This window comes from Homo sapiens, chromosome 4 (assembly GCF_000001405.40).
Source record: "Homo sapiens chromosome 4, GRCh38.p14 Primary Assembly".
NCBI lineage: Eukaryota > Metazoa > Chordata > Mammalia > Primates > Hominidae > Homo > Homo sapiens.
This window is the reverse complement of record NC_000004.12, coordinates 65,344,824-65,362,659: the sequence shown is the minus strand read 5'-3', so window position 1 is coordinate 65,362,659 and position 17,836 is coordinate 65,344,824. Positions and strand designations below refer to the sequence as shown.

The 17,836-nt window shown below is 33.5% G+C and overlaps 1 protein-coding gene across 13 annotated transcripts in view; it reads left to right on the top strand.

The window, feature by feature from the left end:
- Nucleotides 1–17,836, top strand: part of EPHA5 (EPH receptor A5) — a 350,923-nt gene that overhangs the window by 307,830 nt on the left and 25,257 nt on the right. For all 13 annotated transcript variants that reach the window (NM_001437320.1, NM_001437321.1, NM_001437313.1 and 10 more), the window contains 3 exons: nucleotides 9,557–9,618; nucleotides 11,062–11,271; nucleotides 14,457–14,606. In NM_001437320.1, coding sequence (NP_001424249.1) covers nucleotides 9,557–9,618; nucleotides 11,062–11,271; nucleotides 14,457–14,606 — 422 coding nt within the window. The remainder of the gene's footprint in view (nucleotides 1–9,556; nucleotides 9,619–11,061; nucleotides 11,272–14,456; nucleotides 14,607–17,836) is intronic.

Below are 17,836 nucleotides of genomic sequence, written 5' to 3'. Positions count from 1 at the left end.
TATATCTAGATTCTGTGAATTCTATTCTAAAAAATGTTACTGTGGTTAGAAAGGCAGTTTTAAATTTCTGATCTCTTAATCAAATATTCTGCTGGATGATGCTGTTCAGCATGAGGCTACACATACATGTAAAGCAAACTGTAAATACCAACAATATTTATTTGCTTTTACTTTTTATTCCATATGAATTGAAACAATATTTCTCCTTTATAAATTTAGCTCTTAATGTTCAACTTAGGAAGTCTCCAACTTGTTTTTAATTTACCATGTTGCAACTCACTTTATTTGTGTCCTTAATTTCATGCTCTCTGATCTGATGCTAATTTATTCAGCAATTATTCTCAACCAGCAGCACACAGATAATGAGACATAAGTGCAACTAAATCTTGTGACTTTTCTTATTGAAGTTGAGGTAGGGAGTCTGAAGTAGCCCTCCTATGGGTGGTGTCATCGTGAGCCTTCATCTTTTCACTATCACATGCCAGAAGCTTGAGCCCCCATTCAAATTCCTTCTGTGATTTATTGTTAAACAGCAACCATCATAAATAGATACATATATTCTAAAGAACTTTCATGACGAATGACATAAAAAAAGCCCACAGTTCTTGGCTTAATTGACTCATTTGAAATGCAAGACACTTTAGTGTAATAGACATAGTGCCAGCTTTTACTATTTAATGAGATTTGGGAAGAAGATAAAAAGGAAAAAAAGTTGTAATTTTTTCACTGCAGCATCCTTAGTTCCTGAAGATTTCATCTACCATCAGTGGAAAATTATTATCCAAACTGACCAAAGGAAGATCTATTGAGTCTTAGGATTAGTCATAATTTTATTTCTTAATTTAGAATCATGTATAAATAAGCCTAGTTCTGTAAAATTAATAAATTTAAACAAAACACTACAGAAGCATTAGAAGAATCTCTGTCTTTCTCTTTATTTCTATATCTGCAGAGATAGAACATCCAACTACATTGATTACCTAAACTGCTAGACAGTTTTGACTTACTTTGTAAATTTATAATTATCTTTCAAATATATTTCCTTAGTCTGTCTAGTAAGATCATTTTCTTTATACAGGGTCTTATTATATATTAACTAACATTATTCCAACAGTCTTCCACTACTCTTCCCATTTTGTCACTTTCCACTTTAGTCCACTCCATACACATTGCCCTCAAATCACTGCTTTCCTGTCATGCTTCATCAGCAGTCAAGCAAACAAATCAACCAAAATGCATAGACTTTCATACTTAACCTGATACACATTTCCATATTTCACTATTTTCTTTCTGGAAAACTCTACCTTATTCTTGCCCTGCCCCCTTGAGATACTTCACTCAGACCTAAAATGTCCTCTCTTCTCTCTACTCGACCTTCAGGTTTAATTCAAATGTGACCTCTATGAGATCAGTGTCATTTATCTTCATTTTTCCTTCAATCTTGAGTGCCTGCCTGGCATAAAGTAGGCCTTCAATTATGTTGAATAGCTGAGTAAAGGAAAACTTCCCAGTTCTACATTGGAGTACAAGTTTTAAAATATGAACTTCAAAGGGCAGAGGTTTTTGTTTTGCTCACTTGTGTGTTCCTAGATCCAAGCCCAACAGGTGTAGCACTTTATATATGTGTTGAATGAATGAATTCTCAGTCAGAAGTAATTGTCTAAATACCAGTGGCATTTCTGTATACTCTGTCATGCTATATGTTACTTCATAATTAAATCTGCACATGTTTTATCACCCTTCTTATGCAATGAGCTCGTTGAAACTAGCATAGGTTTGTCACCCCCTTTGTGTCTAGCAAAGGGCCAGACACATTAGGTAATTAAAAAAAAGAAAGAAATTAAAATAGTGAATGAATAAATTGTGGCTATGTAAAGATCTTAAGCTAGTTAGAATGATATAGTTTATGTTTTAAATTTAAAAACTTAATTATATAAAACCATGGGCTTTTAAGAAAAATAATAAAATTAATAGGAAAGTTTGAAAATCAGATCTTGCATACACCACTATTAATTATTAACATTGCATTAAGAATTTAGTAAGCTTAGTTTTCTTTATATGTTATCTCTTTTAATCTGCACAATAAGCTATGCTATAGACATTAGTATTTGTTTTCATTTTACAGAAGGGAAAAATTAACATTAAAAAAGTTAAATACCTTATCCAATATCATAAAACTAGCATGGGAATAATGTCAGATTTTAAAACAGCTCTATCTGACTCCAAAATCCAAACTCTTAAACAGTGAATATAACCAACCTCATATTTCATCATTCTGTACATGCTTGACAAGAAACATTCATTTATTCAAAAAATACTAGCTGATCACCTAATATATGCCTATTCTTACTAATCAGTGGGGCTATAGCAGAGATTAAACCGACTGAGTTTCTGCCTTTATAGAGTTTACCTTTGGGTGATGGAGACAGAAATTAAATGAACAAATAACTTAAGATAATAATGTTAAATGGAGAAAATCAAGCTGGGAAAGGAGATTAGGGGTTGCTTCTGTTGAGAGTGGGTGTTTTCTATTTTACTTAGATAAGGCTTGAACAAATTAAAGTTTTGGGCCTTACAGACATTTGGAGGCAGACTGTTACAGGAAGAGGGACTAGCAATGCTCTAAGGGAACTTGCCTGGAAGGTTCGAGAAACAGCAAGAAGGCCATTGGCGCTGCAGTGGAATGATTGAGAGGAGTCTTTGGTAAGAATTTAGATTAACGATGTAGTAGGAGAATAGACAATGTAAAAACTCTTTGGTGCCTGCAAAGACCATCTCTTAATCTGAACTTTGAAGACGTAGAGCTAACATGGGATAGAATTTGATTTACACATTAACAGGACCAGAAAGGCTGCTGGGTTAAGAAGAGGTGGTAGGACCCAGTGTTGAAGCAGGGAGGCACTGGAAGCTAATTGACATTGTTCGCAGATCATTATGGATTAGGTCAGTATAATGACCTAGCATGGTAGAGGGTAGTGGTTGGATTTTGTAGATATTTTGAAGGCAATCACAGTAAACCTTCTTGTGAATTGGATGTGAAGTATGAGAAAAAGTGAGGAGTCAATGATAACTATAAATTATTTGTCTTGAGTACCTCCAAAAAAGGAGTTGCAATTTATGGAGAAAAGCTTATGAGGAACAAGATTAAGCTTGGTAATCAGTAGTTCAGTTGTGGACATGTTAAATTGGAGATACCTATTAGCATACAATTACAGATGTTGTGCATAAAGTTGGATTTAGCTTTAGTCTCAAGAAGTAAAAAGAAAAATGTTTGAAGTATGAGTAAACTTTAATTTTATATCTTCCACTTCACAAGAAGAAATAAAATTATATGAACCAGTTATAAACAATGATATACATAAACAACTTTAAAACTGAAGTGGAGACAGAACCAAGCTCATTAATTTGGTTCTTGTTTTTCTTTAAGGCAGATACAGGTTTTTAATAAATACACGTACACTAAAAATGAGAGATTTACAAGTGCTGTCTCTGAAAGAATCTAAATCTCAATCATCTGAAAAAAATATAGGTTTATAGAAAGAGATTTGCTGACTTGCAGATTGACAGTTAGTAAATGAAACTGTGTTTTAAAGTTATTTTCATTGTTAATACAACCAAGTTGTCAGAGTTGATCATTTTTAGATTCTCCATCTCTTCTGAAAAGTCTATAATTTCTGACTCCATAATTACTGTATTAACCACTTTCGCTAATGTAAGAGCAATTCTAGTTTGTTTTTAATTTGAGAAACGAACATCTATTGAAAAGGTTTATATCAAGGTAAACATTCCGAAATAAAGAGGATATTTTGGAAAGCTTGAAATTTCTACCCATAGAGACATTTTGCATTTCCATGCTCCTGTCTCAGGTGAGGTATACAAGCTTTTGATTTTATCTTATTTGCCCAATCTGAAATTATATAATTTTACAAAGGACTTGTCCCAACATGTTAGCCAGCAAATAAGAACCATAATAAAATTAAAATATCTGAGTACATTTCTAAGTTCTGTCTCATAGTTTGTTTTTATCTTTGTTGTTTTGTTTTTTCCCCTTTTAATAAGCATTACCTATTCCTACTACAAGTACAAGATCCTATTTTCTGGTTGACCATTATCCATTAATAATTGATTCACCATATTTGTGTTATCCTAAGTTTCTTTTGGGGTAAGAATAAAAGACATTTTAAACAGCTGCAAAGATAAGTATACTAAATAGAAAACAATGCAAATAAGATGGCATAATGAAATCATACTATAGGTCTATAAGCAGAGGCTTACTTTTAATCATTTACAAGTCTTAAAATATATTTCTAAGAGAAATCCAGTGACAATAATTTTCCAGTGAATTATGAGGCTTCTAAATGAAATGTTCACTGATAGCCTTAAGTGGTATCATGTGTTTATTGATGAGCTAATGGTTTGGGAAAGGCAGATGGTATGAATGCAAATAAAAATAATAAGCCTATATTTAGCAGCAACTCTTGTGATGTGGCCTAGTTTAGTGTTTCACAAAATTTAATGTGCCTCTGGGGATATTGCTAAATTGCAGAATCTGTTTCAATAGATCTGATTGGGGAATGCTATTTTACATTTCTAATAAGTTCCCAGGCCATGTCTATGCTGCTTGTCAGATATCATATTCTGAGAAACAAGGACTAGATCAACATTCCCCAAATTTGTTTCACCTAACTTTGAGATGTCTTATGGCAAAGGATTGTATTACCAGGAACGGCATATTCTCTTCTCTTTTGGAGATTTGTGATGGACGTTAGCACCAAAAAAGTCACATAATAAGTTAAAAAAACTCATTTTTTTAATTGTAGAAAAAACATACACACACACCTTGAGCTATACACCTTTAATTTTTTTTCAAGTGTACAATACAGTATTATTACCCCTACACACACTGTTGTACAGCAGATCTTTAGTACTTTTTCATCTTGCATACTGTAACTTTGTACACATTGAACAGCAACCCTCCACTTCCCTGTTCCCACAGCTCCTGGAAACTACCTTTCTACTTTCTGCTTCTGTGGGTTTAACTACTTTAAGTAGCTCTTATGCATGTAATCCAAGATTGTTCACAATACACTGCTTGGATCATATGTGGGTAATGAGCATATATAAAAATAGAATATTTATTGAGAAAAGGTAAATTCCTGAACTAGATCTGCCATCAATGGTTGAATAGTTATGACATATTTGTGATTCCCAAGTTTGTATTAACACAAAAAAATGAATATTTGTGAGTTTTTAAAATGAAATCAAAGTAAATATTTTGAATTTGTAGACATCTCAGTATGGGAGAAAGGAAAACAGCCTTAATATTCAGAGAGATACAAATTTGATTCTCAACTTTACTCCTTATATAACTTGCTCCAGACAACCCGAGTAATATATTGAACCTTTCTGAGCCTTACTTGCCTTCTCTGAAAAAGTCTATTATAATATCACAGTTATAGAATTATAATATAAATCCATAACATTGCCTTATAAAGAGTAGATGCTCAATAAATTTGAGCTCTTTTATGGTTATCAATAATAAAGGTAAATTTCTCAAATAATGTATTTCTGTTACTTCTCCCTGGGCTGGGCCTTCAGTAAATAATATAAAGTAATATAAAAACTCTCCCCTGTGATTAAAATCATGTTTTGACATGCTTTATGAGTTATTTTTATATGGATTTTTGATAACATGCTTTCAAAATTATTGGCAGATCTAGTCTTTGTCTGTACTTCAAGCTGGATAATGGAATATGGTTTATACAGTTTTATTGAATTTACAAGGGTTAGAGTAAGCCATGTTAATTATTGCTATGTCATTTTTGCAGGCTAGCAGGCTATGTTTTGCTGAGACAAAACATAAGCCAAACTAAATGTAATTAGCATTAAAATGACTCACGCATGAAGAATAATCGAATGGGTCCTGAAGTGTCTTATTCTTGTCAACAAAAGAAGATCATACTTGTTTGCAAACATTCATTTTAATTGCTTTTCCCCCATCATGTGAAATATGAGAGGTGTTTTAGGTCCTTATCATCTTTCTCAAATAATGTTTTTGCTTTTCACATCACAACCTACACTGTCATAAATAATTAATCTGGCTTTTAAAATTAGATGACACTAGCTGAAAAATCCTACAGGATGAATACCAGGTGCCCATCTCCCTTTTTTTCCCCAAATATATACTATTCAGTGTTAATAAGTTGTCTGATCAGCACATTCTCTTTAGGGTATAAATTCTGTCTTCTTAGCTCAATGAATTTGGGGTTGAATCTAAGATACAGATTTTCAAAGAAAGAGATAATTTTATATGAGAATTCCATCTAAATCCTACTCAGTAGACCTTGGGTGAGCAGTGGTCATATTTACCACTAACCCATAACTCTAAAAAGAGATCCTAAAATATAAAAAGATAGGCAGAAAGAAGAAATTCTACAAAAGAAAGAAGAAAGAAACTGAAAGTGCTGTAAGTAGAAATGCAGGAAAAGCCCTGAAAACATAAAGGACATGGGGTAAAGTAGATAATGATAACATAGATTAGTGGAGCACAGCGTCTGTTCATGTGATATGAGCTGAGAGGTGCCAAGCAGGAAAAGCTGCGACTATATTCTCTAGATGTTTGCTGGAATTCAGTTCTTTCAATTTATTATAATGTGACAACCCTCTCAATAGATTTCTGTAAATGAGGGGATAAATCAGGCAGAATCCAAGTAAAAGAGCCACACATGGAGGATTTCTGGAATTATAGGCTGATTCCAGAAAATCTAGTCCTCCTTTTAGTTAGATTAGGGCTGATCTTTGTCAGGTACATACCCTTTGACTCTATTCCTTGTAAATTGATTGAAATCTTTCTAAAAACTGATGCCGGAGTTGCCCATGTGTCCCCTTTATGTGAGTAACAGTTTCTTCGCTGAGTTCTTTCAAATTCCTGAAACTGGGCAAATGATGGGATAATGCCTTAATATCATAGGGTGATCCAGGATACCTCAGCATTATCGCTGGTATAAATTCTGACATATAGATACCCGTGCCCAAACAGTGGGGCTATCACTACTGGGAGAGGTATATTAGTTTTGTATTCTTGAAAGAACAGGACTTCAGATGAATATAAAAGGTTGAAATGGGCTCAGAGATGTGAGAATGGGACGAAAAGAGCCCAAAGCAGAACTGTGTCTATTTTAGAGTTTGCCTGAGGTCCTTTAAAAAGAGTCTGACAATATAGTTAAAATAAAGTTTAAGTTGCAAGCATTTTTTATTCATGAATGTAGATTAAAATTATACTAATGATAAAAATTTCATTATCAATTTTTTCCTGATCTGTTCTTGAGCCATTTACAAATACAACCTAAATAATTATTTTTCTACTAAGAAATTTCACTTCCATCTAGTTTTAAGGTCAGTATTTGTCACCTCATCTCTTGTAACTTTATGATTTAAGAAGAGAAAAAAATTCAGAGTTGTGACTGTATTTAAACTTCATGGGCTCTTTCTTGACAATATGCATAGACATGTGCCACCTCTCTTCCTGGAACTCTGGCCACCTTTTATTACACCTGTGACCCCTGCACTCTTCAAGGTGCAGATTAAATTACATCCAAAATGCACATTCTCTGCATATGTGATCTCTCACCTAACATAGGCATCTACAAACCTGTGTCAAATAAAGTATTTTAGACAAACATTTTTACAACTTTTATAAACTTTAGAGGACGAGGAAATGTGGCTGCCTTTGCAATACACTTATCACATTCCATTTAAAGAAATATTGTCTCGAGTATTTTATAAGAAGATAATTAAGTGAGAATTAGACTTACTTGTCCTATATTATTATTATAAACGGTGAGTTTTAAGTGATATGGGACTAAAACATTCTTTTTTCTTCCCAGTTATTTCTTTTTCATATGTATTAATCATATGTTCTATATCTATAGTTGTACTTCTGGATAATATGATATGTGTAAATATGCAAGCTGTCATTCTATGACCTGAGTCAATCAATTATCCAGTAAAATACAGACACTCTTCTGAAGAATGCCATTAAATTAATTATAATGCATTTCACAATTGTATAGTATTTGTTTCTCTTCATAAATTAAAAAGTTAATTAATGGACATATATGGTAATTTTATTATCATAGGTCTCTGTTTTCTTAACTCAAAATATTTTAAATTAAAACTAGTTTTATGTCATATGTTTCTATTAAAGAGTAAAGGGGTGTGTCTTAAAATATAGTGAAAATGTGGAATGATAAAACTAGCAACTGTTTTCTAGATATTTTCTCATATAGCAATAATTTTTTATCTTGCAATTTTCATCTTGTATTACAGACATACTAGGTATGAAATGTCACAATTTTATATGGAATGAGATGATCTATTCTCTTGGTCAACTTACATCTAGCAAGGAAGCTAACACACAAAGTTGATCAAATGTATTTTTAAAATGTTAAATCCTTGCATAGCAAATTCTGAGTAATAGGAACTATTTTAAGTGCCTTGGATAACCATATGACTTAGCAGATACTCGCAACAACCCTATGAGGTAGGCGCCATTGCTATCCTCATTTTACATATGAGAAAACTGAGGCACAGAGATAAGAATTGACTTGCCCGGGATCCATAATAATAAGTGATTGCTCTGGGATGAAAATCCAAGAAGTATGGCTCTAGAGTCTGTCCAGCTGACCTCTAGGCTACATGTCAATGTCAGATATGAAAGAAGGAGAACCATTTTCATCATAATTAATGACTGCTAAGGAAATCTTTCACATAACAATTAGAACAGAGCTTTAAAAAATGAAAAGAAAAGTGGGGTTAATCGAGATTTTAAGTGTGTAGCAGAGAGAGGAAGGGCAGGTAGCCATAAGGAAAGGAGTTACAAAAACATAGAGGTAAAGGTAGGAAAATGCAATATACATTCAAAGGATCATAAACAGGGCAGTTAGATAGGATGGAGTTTTTATTTAGAATTGTGAGAATTAGAAAGATGAATATGTTCCAAGTGTTTCGCTGAATATTATTGGATACATTATATCATTATTTCTATTAAAATAAAATTTATCCTAATACTCATAGAATTATTCTTAAACACATTTCCTACATAAATTAGTGATGATATTGGCAAGGGTGTGTGTGTGTGTGTGTGTGTGTGTGTGTAAATCTTAAATATCAGTCTGTTATTAACCTTGTGATACATTTTTCTCACTGACTCAACCATAACACTAAGATATCATCATATCAGGAATTATCTTCTTTCTTAAAGAGGACATTTTTAAATATTTAAATATTTAAATAGTTTTAAAATACTTTAAAAAATGTTTTTAAAATATTAAATATATTAAAAATGTTTTTAAAATATTAAATATATTAAAATATTTTTAAATATTTAAATATCTTTCATTTAATAAATTTTATTTTTTAATATTTTTATTTAAATATTTTAAATATATATATATATATACAATTTTGACACTAATAAAAACTTCTGGGTAAGCTTTGCCAGATAAGAATGCAAAATCGAAGAGCAGCAGGTTATATCACTCTGTTTTCTTTTCAGGTAAACCAGTGATGATCGTGACAGAGTATATGGAGAATGGCTCTTTAGATACATTTTTGAAGGTAGGATTGGGGAATAATTTAGTTATTCAAGGTGTTATTTATATATTGTGATGTTGTGCTGTGATGATGATGCTGTGATGTTGAAGTTGAATTTGGGCCACTTTAAAGCTTAAGTTTTTAATAGAACAGAAATTTATGGAGCCACAATAATTACACTCCAAAATGAACATAGGTTTGTTTCAGAAAACTCACACAAATCCAAATTATATGCCCCTAAAGTTTTATTTAAGTATGTCTTAATTTGAAAAAAAAAATGCAGAGAAGTAGAAGGGAATAAGAGAGGAAAAGAAAAATTTTAAAAAAGAAATGTAAAAAGGGAAAAAAGGAAAAAATAAGGTCTTACAAGTGTTCGATTTTCTCTTAGTGTATCAGGCAGAGCAAGAAAACGTGTAAATAGCCCAGGCAAGTCATTAATAAAGGTGTCAAGTTAGAGCCTATAAGTGCTCCTAATCTACCTGAAGATCCGTCACGACTTGCACCAGCAGAGTTCACGTGGTAATTGACAATAGCTAATATTATCAGATCACCAGCGTTTCAGGGAAAGATTTTCTTCATGTGCAAATCTCTAAATTTTAAATAATGGCAACCCACTTTATTAGTAAATAGCTTGTGTTAGACAATGTAACATATTTGCAGGCCTGATTAAACATATAGGCTGGCAGTTTGTAATTTTAATATAGTGCTCATTACCATTGGTAGGAAAAAGTGATAGCCCAATGGCATTGATAACAATTGTAAGAGGGACCTATGCAATGAATTTGATAATGGTCCACTGAAAAGTCAAATTTTTCTTCCTACTGCCAGACTCTGCCAAATTATTTTATCAAATTTTCTAACCATACCTTTAAGTACTCCAGTCTCTTAGAGTCACGCCATTCCTTTATTTTAAAATAGCCATCCATTGAGCCTTATGAGTTAATGTAACTGAAATAATTTCAGTGCCCTTGACAAAGACGACAAACTTCCAAAAATTGCTAACATTGACCTGATCACTGCTCAGTCACCCGTCTCCCATCTGCTGTTACAGAAACTCCCTTATCACCTCTGTCCATTTCTTCTTTACCTTAATATGTCTATCCAGCTAGCTTCTTTTAAATCACATCAAAATAGTACGGTGTTGACCCAAGGCAGATACTAGGTTGGAGTGTGAACAAACCCTTCTGATGACTGAGAATAAAAGAGTTATGATGCAGAAAAAGGCAACTACATAAGATTTTTGGCCAGGGTTTTCAAAACCTTTATCTGCTTTGACCAAGCAGAGGAAAAATAAATGTCACCAAGTTAGCCATATACTTCCTACCATTTTCCAATCTCCTTCAGATAGAAATTGCATATGAATTTTAGCGACTGATAGTATCAATTTGGGGGATTGAATACAGACCTCTCATATTTTCCCCCAGTGATTGGTGTTGCTAGACTAATATTTCTACATTGTCTTTACAGAAAAACGATGGGCAGTTCACTGTGATTCAGCTTGTTGGCATGCTGAGAGGTATCTCTGCAGGAATGAAGTACCTTTCTGACATGGGCTATGTGCATAGAGATCTTGCTGCCAGAAACATCTTAATCAACAGTAACCTTGTGTGCAAAGTGTCTGACTTTGGACTTTCCCGGGTACTGGAAGATGATCCCGAGGCAGCCTACACCACAAGGGTAAGATCTAACAGAGTGCATTTCTAAACACTAGACCAGAGCCATTTATTTTTAAAGATTCTGAAAGAAATAGCTAAAAGAGCATTCCTGCAACAAAGTCAAAAAGAAAGAGAGAGAATGAGGGGGAGAGGGAGAGAGAAAATCAAAAGTCAAAAAATTCTTCCTTTTATGTATCAGCAAATTTAAATATTAACTTTAGAATATCTGAGTTTCATAATTCATTTTTTCTGAAGATACTAAAAATAAAAAATCTTACTTCAGAATGGATACAGCATGTAAGAATAATCATCTTAAATTTCAAAGTAAGGAGTTAAATACAGAATCTCCTACATTAAAGGTTATATATATATATATATAGTATGTATGTGTCTGTGTATACACACATATATATGAATAAGTAAACATGTATAATATTATTGGGTAGTTTAAGCTCTCTGCATTATACTGTCCTTACTTGTAAAATAAATACAGAAATATCTAGCTCCCACCTTTTAAGGATTTACATTGTAGGGAAAAAAGAGCTATTCCTTCAAAAAGTTTTGATTTCCTGGAGGTATTGTAATAGCTATTTAAAAACTGTTACGTCTACACTATGGAAAATTGATCACTAACTCATATTGTTATATTTCACAGAAGTCAAAACTCTTTTCTATGAAAGTAATTGCTTGCTGTATTGATATGGTATATAATTGACATTTTTTCTGTGAAAAACTGTGCATATTGCTACAACAGAATGTTATGGGTGATCTGTAATGTCATACTTTTTGAGTTTGAATTCCTTATGATAAACAATATTTGCTTAATTCTAAATATGTTCAGTGTCATCAAGTTGAATATCCTCAATGTCTAAAACCCTTGTGAAGATAGAGATCTGTCATTGTTTATTTTTCCCTATACAATTTGATAGCTCTCATTCTCAAAGTAATATGCATGTTTTCATATTTAATTCAACTTTTAAAAATTACATCCACTGGTAGTCTAACAATAAGTTCTTTTCAGATTATAAGGGTTTTTTTTTTAAAACATTTTTGCTTTGTGATTCATGGGGATTTGTACTTTGTTGAAGGGAGAAAGTAACTTATCCAAGCAAACAAAGACTTCCAGTGGTCAGCTTAATCAATAAAGTATTTAGGGGGATATCCTTCCTCTTCCAGACCTATCAGTGTCATTATTTTCATTACATGAAAACTCAATTAAGAATTCTTTTGGGAATAGAGTTACCTTTAATAAATTTTGCCTGATCAAGATTGAGGTTATACAACTATCCATTGCCAGTGTGATTGGTGGGTGTCTTAGTTAAGTGTAAAAAGTAGATTTTTCAAGATTTGTGTTAGTGTGTTATGCTACAGAGTAAAGTGAGAGACAGAGAACCTGAAACCTTCAAGGCTTATTCCTCTGAAATGGGGTATAGTGGCAGCCTGTGGAAAATCTATACACTGAGAGATGAGAACATAAGGAACTTGAGATTTATTGAAGACATGAAGGATGATCAGAGGATCAGGAGAAAAATTATGGGCTAAGGTTTAATATAATCAACAAATGACAATTCTAAAAGGAATATTAATAAGACATTATAGAATATCTATGCATAGCTAGGACTCATAATACAATCTTGCCTATGAATATTTAACGAATGAGAATAAGTTTCAGGTAAGTCTTCTTCAAATGATGTTACCATATATCTAAAGAGCAAATAATTCAAACCTAACTTCAATTCCCAAAATAATTTTTAGTATGACCCCAAACTGTTATTTCCTTATATATATTGAAACTTTGGTTCATAAACAGCAATTTAAGTCCTATTTTTTCCCTTGCAATGTAAATTAAATCTTTCCCTTCCTGCAAAATGGGAAGGCACATGTTAGTCTTTTTACAAGAAAATATTGGAAACCTTCACCTCTTTCTCTTTCAATATATATTTGATGATAGATGAAATATTTGATTATCTAGATTTGCCTGCTATTGAAGCTAAGAGAATAATAATTTCACCCTGAAAGAGGCATATTATAAAAGTGTTTATTGTATGAACTAAGAGAAAGTCTCCAAATCAATTTTTATGCCATAAAAAACAACTTGATAATGTAGTAAGATTTTCCCCCAATCCAATTTCAATAATTTTTAATTTGGTTTAGTCAAACAAGACACCCTCCTCTTAAACAGTTGAACCAAACAAAAACAAAATAAGACAACAGAGGAAAAGAGAAAAGCAAGTCTAAAAGAAATAACACAACGTCAAGGGAAAGTGTAACTTTGTTTTAATATATCCAATATTATGCTGGGCCCAGTAGCTCACGCCTGTAATCCCAGCACTTTGGGAGGCTAAGGTGGGTGAATCACTTGAGGTCAGGAGTTGGAGAGCAGCCTAGCCAACATGGCAAACCCCTGTCTCTACTAAAAATACAAAAATTAGCCAGGCATGATAGCGCACATCTGTAGTCCCAGCTACTCGGGAGGCTGAAGTATGAGAATCACTTGAACCTGGGAGGTGGGGGTTACAGTGAGTGGAAATCTCACCACTGCACTCCAGCCTAGGAGACAGAGCGAGACCCTGTCTCAAAAAAAAAAAAAAAAAATATATATATATATATATATATACACACACACACACATGCACACACATATATATACACATATATATATGCACACACATATATATACACACACATATATATACACACACATATATATTTTATATATATATATATATATATATATATATATATATATATCTCCAATGTTTATGCTTTTCTTATTAACTGCTAAACAGCTCAGGGTCACATTCATCAACCTATAATTTCCACTTACAATTTCTGTATTAAAGAAACGAAGCACCCAGGGAATTTGAGTCTTTTACTCTGTTAGAAAGTCATGAGAGTATACCTTATTGGTTTGCTTGACTGCCTGCTTTCCCTTACTTAGAGCTGCTATACTGAGGACTGTAATTGAGATGTGGTTTCTGTATGTATTTCAGTAGTCACACAGAATTTAAACTAGAAACCTTCTAGACAGCCAATTAGTAGTCTACAACTGCTTATGGGCTGAGAGATTTGAAAAGACACTGCGCGCTGTCAAACAGATTCACTTAAAAATGCTACATCTCTGTCTAGATCTTTTCAGTGAGGCAACACTGTCCCTAGGCACATTTGAAGTATGTAGGAAGTTTTTTAAATCTTTTTCAATTTTAGGGAGGAAAAATTCCAATCAGATGGACTGCCCCAGAAGCAATAGCTTTCCGAAAGTTTACTTCTGCCAGTGATGTCTGGAGTTATGGAATAGTAATGTGGGAAGTTGTGTCTTATGGAGAGAGACCCTACTGGGAGATGACCAATCAAGATGTGAGTATGGAACTACTCTTTCCCAACTTGACAATGAAATGCTTTGTTCTCTGAGTCAAGACACAATGTTTTTCATTTCTGAAAGTGACAGTTGCTTAAGAAAATGAAATACTTTGCTTACCCTCTGATCTGTTTTGTGTTGTTGAAATATCCTTTAAGCAGGAGCTCAAAATGAGTTATTACAAAGGAAAGTAAGTTACAGTTATATAAAAACTCAGTCCCTTGCCAGACAGTTTTAGCTGTACTGTAGTGATGTTTCACTCAATTCTTGTCAGTATCATTTTCAAAGATAAAGAAAGAGCCATCAAAGAATGAATACTGACAGGCAAGTTTTTATGATTTGCATTTGATAAAGGCAGCTAATACTCCAAACCAATAGGATGATGATATTGATTTAATAGTGGATGCTCTTAGAGGATAAAAAGGAATAGTCTACGTTTCTTTAAATTAAAAAATGTAAGAAGAGTTGTATTGTTTATTTAACTTGAAAGAAATACCAGATTTTCCCCACAATGGAAAAATAATTCATACTTACAATAATAGAATCCTAAAATTAAAGGAACTATGAAAGAATCTTCTGTTCAAATTCACAGCGTTTATTATGTGATGCCTGACACATGGCTCTTTAATCTTTCCCTTTGTAATTTTCCATCATTACTATTCAATACAGCCCTTTCTATTTTGGATCATATGGAAATTTCATATTTTTATTTTGAGAAACAACAATTATAAAAGCAGCTAACATTTATTGAGCCCTTATCATGAGACATACACTATTTTAAGTGCTTTACCAACTATTTTATTACTTCATTGTAAAGCTAGTATATTGAACAGTTTTAATTTAATAATGTGCTTATTTGAAACACTTTTTCACTCGCATTATTTCTGTCATCCATGCTCCATAAAACCTCCCTCTCTCATGCCTTCAGGGTTGGTTAGACAGATACTATATAGCTCTCCAGCTGAATTTTGTTGAAACAACAATGCCTGTAATTAACACTCACTTTCCAATCTAAAAATTCGAGTCCAACCTAAAAGTGGATCCTATATTCATTTCAAAGTGTCTTCCACAACTGGAGGCCTAGACTAATTGTAGGTACCTACAGTGTGAATCAAGTATTTGCCCCTCCTCCTCTGCCAAAGTCTATATCAGGATTCTTCAGGATTGGTTTGGGTGGAAAGGTAGAAAAGAAGGTCATAAATGTCTTCTTTTGAGAAGTGTCTGTTCATATCCTTTGCCCATTTTTTGATGGGGTTGTTTGATTTTTTTCTTGTAAATTTGTTTAAGTTCTTTGTAGATTCTGGATGTTAGCCATTTGTCAGATGGGTAGATTGCAAAAATTTTCTCCCACTCTGCATGTTGCCTGTTCACTCTGATGGTAGTCTCTTTTGCTGTGCAGAAGTTCTTTAGTTTAATTAGATCCCATTTGTCAATTTTGCCTTTTGTTGCCATTGCTTTTGGTGTTTTAGTCATGAAGTCCTAGAACTTAAAATATAATAATAAAAAAAGACAAAATGAAACCCCAACTTCACACCATGTATATATAAAATATACATGTGAGGTGGAATAAATATTGAAATGTCAAAATCAGAATATAAAATAATAGAAGAAAAATTTTGATTATATTTAGCCTTTCTTTAAAAACAGGAAAAATCCATAAGCCATTTAAGAAAAGAGTTTGATAGTTTTCACTAACAAAATTATAAATTTATGTGTTGAAAAATGCACAACAAAAAGTAAGAAATACAAGTTTAGACTGAGTAAATATTTTCAATACTGCATTATAAACAAAAGTATAATGTACTTACTTATACAATGAGACTTAATAAAGCATTAAGAAAAATAGAAACAATAGGCAAAGCATAAGATTTGGCAAGATACATTGGATGGAATGCAGATGGCCAATAAATGTATGAAAAAATGTTTAACTTTTTAAATAAAAGAACTACAAATTAGAAAAAAAAAAAAGAGAGAGAAAAGAAGAGGCACGGGCTGGCCGCGGTGGCTCATGCCTGTAATCCCAGCACTTTGGGAGGCCGAGACGGGTGGATCGTGAGGTCAGACCATCCTGGCTAATACGGTGAAACTCTGTCTCTACTAAAAATACAAAAAATTAGCCGGGCGTGGTGGCGGGCGCCTGTAGTCCCAGCTACTCGAGAGGCTGAAGCAGGAGAATGGCATGAACCCGGGAGGCAGAGCTTGCAGTGAGCCGAGATTGCGCCACTGCACACCAGCCTGGGCGACAGAGCGAGACTCTGTCTCAAGAAAAAAAAAGAAAAGAAAAGAAAAAGAAGAGGCATGATTGCTTTCCTAATGTGAGGATATTGATGCCTCCTGTGAGACAAATTGCCTAGGCATTAGTTCTCAAGTGAGTTATCTGTCTGAGCTCTTCCAAAGACCCTTGATGAAGCCCTTTTCTCTGCAAGGGCCCTAGAGGAGGAGGATGTCCTCCGACTTTCCATAGTTCCTCTCGCTCTCTGTCTGTTCCCCATCTGACAGTCTCTTACTGTTCCAGCTGTGTCCACTTTATTGGAGGGACACACATTCTTATTGGATGCACTAGCAGTGCCTTCTCTTTGCAGATATCTGTTGCAGGCTGCTCCAGCCAGCCTTCTTCAAATTTCCCCAGAAGAAAAGCCAGGGTCACACATCAGCTTTCCCACGAATGATTTCATAGCATTCTTCTTTGATCGAAACAGCAAATTGGAGTTATGGATTTCTGCTTCTCAGCAAGCACACCGGATGACAATGAGTCTCCCCTTCTTGTAGTCACTTAAAATTGCTAAAATTGGTTTTCTTTATGCCCTGCTTACTTGGCTTGGGGAGGGGAGCACTGACTAGCATTTCTCTAAATCTGGGAAAATGGTATATATTGTCTTCAGCTTTATGATTTTAGGGGCGGGACTATGACAAAACTGTGTCATTCAATTCCTGTTACATATATTTATACTTATATTTAACAACCTTGTGTCAGAGGGATGCTATTATTGTTACTGTTTTACAATTAAGAAACTGAAGCTTGGAGATGTTAAATGACTTATTTACCATCACAGAAATAATGAAAGTGATACCAGAAATTTCAATCTGGTTCTCCAAAATTTTTGTATCTAAGCATCACACTGTCTCCAATTGAATCAATGTCTCCTACCTCTCTTTCATTTCTAACCAATAGTCCGACATCAGCTTTCTAATTTAATATAAAATATAAAATGTTCAATTGAATATATGA